We start from the raw sequence: 6,162 nt of genomic DNA, 5'->3' as shown, positions 1-6,162 counted from the left end.
CTTCTTATGTTCTTCTCTCAGGAGAAGTTATTTAACCAGGTATCAACCTGATTGGGTTTTATTAGAGCCTAACTGGTCCCAAGGAACCAAAGCACCCATCTCTAACTGGCTCTAGACTCCCACTTAGGAGGAGGAAAATACTCAACTCGAGCCCACTCTAGGTATCCTATCCTACCCAATGGAGAGGGAAAAAGACATGAGAATCACACATGAAGTTCATAGTTCAGAAGCACAAGCATACTAATCGACTGAGACCTAATCATAAGACTGCAGAATGCTTCCCCTATCCCCAAATATTACCACTACATTACTAAAGGTTTAACTACATCACATCTTTTTTTTATAATGAATAAAATATACAGTATGAAAAAACAGATGAGCAATGTAAACAGAGAGATACTGGAATACAAATAATAAATATCTCTGAGGGGATTATTAGTAGCCTGGACGCAGCTGAGGAAAAATATCTGAGCTGGAGGATGTATCAAAAGTAACCTCCAAAACTAAAAATAAAGTAAAAAAAAAGATTGAGGAAAATAGAAAAGAACACTAAAGAACTGTGAGGTAACTACAAAAGGTATAACATATGTATAAACATGTGTTTAATAAGAGCCACAGGAAGATAAGAAAAATGAAAGAAAGAAAGAAAGAAAAAGTGAAGCAATATTTGAAAGGCTAGTGACTGAAATTTCCCCAAACTAACATTAGACATCAAACCACAGATCCCAGAAACTCAGAGAACAAGTGGGATAAATGCCAAAAGAAAAAAAAAACCCACCTTTTTTAAAAAAAACAACAAAAATGACCTCAAGGCATATTACATTGAAATTTCAGTGTCATAAAAATGTCTTGAAAGAGGCCAGAGGGAAATAAAATTCTATCCCTAGAGGAGCAAAGTTAGATTTATGTCTGGGTTTACCTCAGAACTATGCAAGCAACAAGAGACTACTTTAGATGGAAATATATAAAGTGTTGAGAAAAAAATAACTCTTCAATCTAAATTCTGTGCCCTGCAAAAATTGTTCTTCAAGAGTGAAGATAAAATACTTTCTCAGAAAAACAAAAAAAATGAGAGTTTATTGCCAGTAGACCTGCCTTGCAAGAAATGTTAAAATAATTTCATTTGAGAGAACATGATATAGGTCAGAAACTTAGATCTATGTAAACAAAAGAAGAACATCAGAAAATGAGTAAATGTATAACCAACATTTGAGGAAGCCACTGTACAAAAGCTATTTATAACAAAGGAACAAACAGAAGTGTGGTCCTCTGAAAGCATCCAGAATTGAAGCCAAATGATCATGTATTAATATAACATACATTACAGTGATACTTTCATGTGGTGAGGGAAAGTCCTAGCCAAATGAAAGTAAAATGAAATATAGGTGATAGCTTCTCCAGATGAGGAAGAGTTAGCACACACACACACACACACACACACACACAAACACACACCCCAAATAAGCAGTATTTCAATACTCCCAAAGAATCATAATAACTCTCCAGCAATGGATCTTAAACAAAATAAAAATTCTGAAATGATAGATATATTAGCTCATTCTCATGCTGCTAATAAAGACATACCTGAGACTGGGTAATTTTTAAAGTAAAGAGGTTTAATGGACTCACAGTTCCACATGGCTGGGGAGGCCTCACAATTATGGCAGAAGGCAAAGGGATGTCTTACATGGTGACAGGCAAAAAGAGCCTGTGCAGGAAAACTTCCATTTATAAAACCATCAGCTCTCAAGAGACATATTTACTACAATGAGAACAGTATGGGGGAAAACGCCCCCATAATTCAATTATCTCCACCTGGCTCTGTCCTTGTCACATGGGGATTATTATAATTCAAGGTGAGATTTGGGTGGGGAAACACAGCCAAACAATATCAATAGGTAAATAATTCCAAATATAGATTATAAGGAACTCCATGAGATCCAAGAGAAAATAGAAAAAAAACCCCACAGAAATCAGATAAAAAATTCAGAATATGAATTAAAACTTTAATAAAAGCATAGATTTTTTAAAAAATCAATTAAAACATTTGGAAATAAAAATTCATTGAAAGTTATAAAACATAGTTAAAATATTTTAAAAAGACAAAATCAAGCAGAAGAAAAAATTTCAGAGCTTTAAGACTGATATTTTGAATTAGCATAGACAAAAATAAAGAAAAAATAATTTTAGAAAATGAAGAAAGCCTTCAAGTAATATAAGATTATGTAAAGTGACCAAACCCATGAATAACAGGCATTCCTGAGGGAGAAGAAAATGTAAAAAGCTTGGGAAACACATTTTAGTGAATAATTTAAGAAAACTTTTCTAGTCTAGCTAGAGAATAAAACATCGAATATAAGAAGTTCAGAGACACCTGGGAGAGACTGCAAGATGAATTTCATCAAGGAATAGTCATCAAACTATCCAAAGTCAACATGAAAAAAAAAAATCCTAAAAGCAGCAAGAGAGAAGCATCTAATTACTTATAAAGGAAACTCCATCAGATTGACAAAGGATCCTCGAGCAGAAACCTTACAAGCCAGAAGAGAATGGAGGTGTGTCTTCAGCCTTCTTAAGGAAAACAAACAAACAACCAAAAAAAAACCAAAAAACAAAAAACATCCAATAATTCTACTTTCTGCCACACTAAGTTTCGTAAGTCAAGGAGAAATACAGCCTTTCCCAGAGAAGCAAATGCTAAGGAAATTCATCACCACTAGACCAGCCCTACAAGATATACTCATAGGAATTCTAAATATGGAAACAAAAGGACAGTAGTCACCATTATAAAAGCACACAAAAGTACAATTGTATCCTACAATGCAGTTACACAACTGAGGCTACAAATAAGTAACAATACTATGACAGGCACACAATCTCACATATCAGTATTAATCTTGAAAGTAAATAGCCTAAAGGCTTCATTTAAAAGAGATAGGCTGGCATTGGATTAAAAAAACAAGATCCAACATTGGCTCTCTACAAGACACTCACCTAATGGATAAGGACATCCATACATTCAAAGGGGTGAAAAAAGATATACCATGCAAATGGAAAACAAAAATGAGCAGAAGTAGCTATACTTATATAAAACAAAACAAACTTTAAATAAAAAACAAAAAAGGGAAAAAGAAGGTCATAAAGGATCCAATTCAACAAGAAGATATAAGTATCATAAATATATATGCACCCAACATCAGAACACCCAGATCCATAAAACAAACACTTCCAGACCTAAGAAAAGAGATAAACAGCAGTACAATAATAGTGGGGGGCTTTAGTACCTCCTTGACAGCACTAGACAGATCATTGAGGCATAAAATCAACAAAGAAATACTGGACTTAAACTGGACTTGAGGCCAAATGGACCTAACAGACTCTACAGAACATTCTACCCAACAGTAGAATATATGTTTTTCTCATCTGCACACACAACATTCTTGAAAATGGACCATATTTCTGGCCATAAAACAGATCTCAATAAGTTCAAAAAATCAAGATAATATCAAGTATCTTCTAGGACAGCGTGGAATAAAAGTAGAAGTCAAAACCAAGAAGAAGTCTCACAACTATACAAATACATGGAAATTAAACACCTTGTTCTTGAATCATCTTTGGTTAAATAATGAAATTAAGGCAGAATTAAAAAAAATGAAACAAATGAAAATAGAGACACAGTATACCCACATCTCTGAGAGATAGCAAAATATAAGAGGAAACTTCATAGCACTAAATACATCAAAGGGATAGGAAGATCTCAAATTAACAACCTAACGTATCACATCAAAGAACTAGAAAAACAAAGCCAAACCAACCCCAAATCTAGCAGAAGAAAATAAATAATAAAGATTAGAGCAGAACTAAATGAGATTGAGACCACAAAATAAAAACCAATATAAAGGATCAATGATATGAATAGTTTGTTATTTGAAAAGATAAAATAGTTTGACCTCTAGCTAGTTTAACCAAGAAAAAGAGAAAGAAGATTCAAATACATACAATCAGAAATGATAAATGTGACATTATAACTGATACCACAGAAATATGAAAGATCATCAGAAACTCTCATGAGCATCTTTAGGTGCACAACTAGAAAACCTAGAGGAAGTGCACAAATTGCTGCAAACATGCAGCCTCCTGAGATTGAACAAGGGAGAAACAGAATCCTGAACAGACCAATAATGAGTAATGAAATTAAGTCAGTGATAAAAAAGTCTCCCACAAAAACAATAAAAAGCCCAGGTCCAAATGGATTCACAGCCAAATTTTACTAGACATACAAAGAAAAATTGGTAAGAATCTTAGTGAAACCATTCCAAAAAATTGAGGGAGAAAAATTTCTCTATAACTCATTCTACAAAACCTGTACCATCTTGATTTCAAAATCAGGCAAAGACACAACAGCAACTAAAAACTACAGGCCGATATCCCTAATGAATACAGATGAGAAAATCATCAGCAAAATACTAGCAAATCAAAACCATTGAGGACTAAACTCTGATTTTTTTTCTCGTCCAAATTCCTGTCTAAGGGGCCTGGGGAGTCATGCCCTACAAATCATAAATTCTCATCAGATGAATTTTATTTGACTCTATATATTGTGTCTTACTTTCCAACCTGACTCTGGCATAACATTATGAGACAAGGAAGAAAATAAAATATTTACCCCAAATCATGTTTCTTTGCCATATTTTGAAATGGTCCTGCAAAACTCTTCTTTGTGGGGGAATATTTGCATATGTAAAGAATCTCTAGTAAACACAGCTAGATCTTTTTCTTCCAGACCCTCCCAATCCTAAAGAGATTAACTAAGATCTCAATAGGAAACATTTGTCAGCTATTGTCTCTAAAGGCAGCCACTATAAGACTTCAAAAGAACTTTGATCTCCACTATCTTTATCTTAACCCGAACATGCCCTTTCTATCAATCCCAGGTCTTTAGACAAACTCAACCAATTGTCAACCAGAAAATGTTTAAATTCACCTATAGCCTGGAAGCCCCCACACTTTGAGTTTTCCTGCCTTTCTGGACCAAACCAATGTATTTCTTAAATGTATTTGATTGATGTCTCATGCCTCTCTAAAATGTATAAAACCAAGCTGTGCCTAGACAACCTTGGGCACATATTCTTGGAACCTCCGGAGGGCTGTGTCATAGGCCATGATCACTCATATTTGGCTCAGAATAAATCTCTTCAAATATTTTGCAGAGTTTGACTCTTCATTGACACCATAAGCACATCAAAAAGATAATACACTACAATCCAGTAAGTCTTATTTCAGGGATGTGAAGAAGGTTCAACATTCGGAAATCAATAAATGTATTTCATCATATAAATAGAATAAAAACAAAACGTTATGATCATTGCAATAGATGCAGAGAAAGCTTTTGATAAAATCGAACATCCCTTCATGATAAAAAACCTCAACAGGCTAGGCATTGAAGAAACATACCTCAAAATAATAAAAGGCATATACTACAACCCATAGCCCACATCACACTGAATGGGGAAAGGTTTAAATCATTCCTCCTAAGAACTGAAACAAGACAAAGATGTCCGCTTTCACCACTCCTATTCAACACAGTACTGGAAGTCCTTTGCCAAGCAATCAAGCAAGGGAAAAAAATAAAATGCATTTCTCTGTAGAGAAAACTCTATAGAATCCCGCAAAAGACACTTAAATTTGATAAATGATTTTGGTAAAGTTTCAGGATACAAAATCAACGTGTAAAAAGAAGTAGCATTTCTATACACCAATAATGTTCAATATGAGAACCAAATCAATAACTCAATCCTATTTATAATAGCTACAAAGGATAATGAATATCTAAGAATGTATCTAACCAAAAAGGTGAAAGATCTCTATAAGAAGAACTACAAGACATTAGTGATAGAATTGTAGATGACACAAACAAATGGAAAAACATTTCATGCTCATGAATTAGAAGAATTAATATCATTAAAAAGACCATACTTTAGTCCCAGCTACCCCGGAGGCTGAGGCAGGAGAATGGCATGAACCCGGGAGGTGGAGCTTGCAGTGAACCGAGATTGCTGCCACTGCACTCCAGCCTGGGCAACAGAGTGAGACTCCGTTTCAAGAAACAAAAAACAAACAAACAAACAAAATACTTCACAAAGCAATCTAGATTCAATGCAA

The 6,162-nt window shown here is 34.4% G+C and overlaps 1 annotated feature.

The window, feature by feature from the left end:
- Positions 4,338-5,309: an enhancer, noted in NCBI's record as "NANOG hESC enhancer chr14:28857194-28858165 (GRCh37/hg19 assembly coordinates)". NCBI's record gives its function as "activates a minimal SCP1, AML or CMV promoter by ChIP-STARR-seq in naive H9 embryonic stem cells {active_cell/tissue: H9 hESC(naive)}" and the evidence as "EXISTENCE:reporter gene assay evidence [ECO:0000049][PMID:30033119]".

The sequence above is a fragment of the Homo sapiens genome, chromosome 14 (genome assembly GCF_000001405.40).
Source record: "Homo sapiens chromosome 14, GRCh38.p14 Primary Assembly".
NCBI lineage: Eukaryota > Metazoa > Chordata > Mammalia > Primates > Hominidae > Homo > Homo sapiens.
The sequence above is the reverse complement of the archived record's forward strand: the minus strand, read 5'-3'. Positions and strand labels throughout refer to the sequence as shown.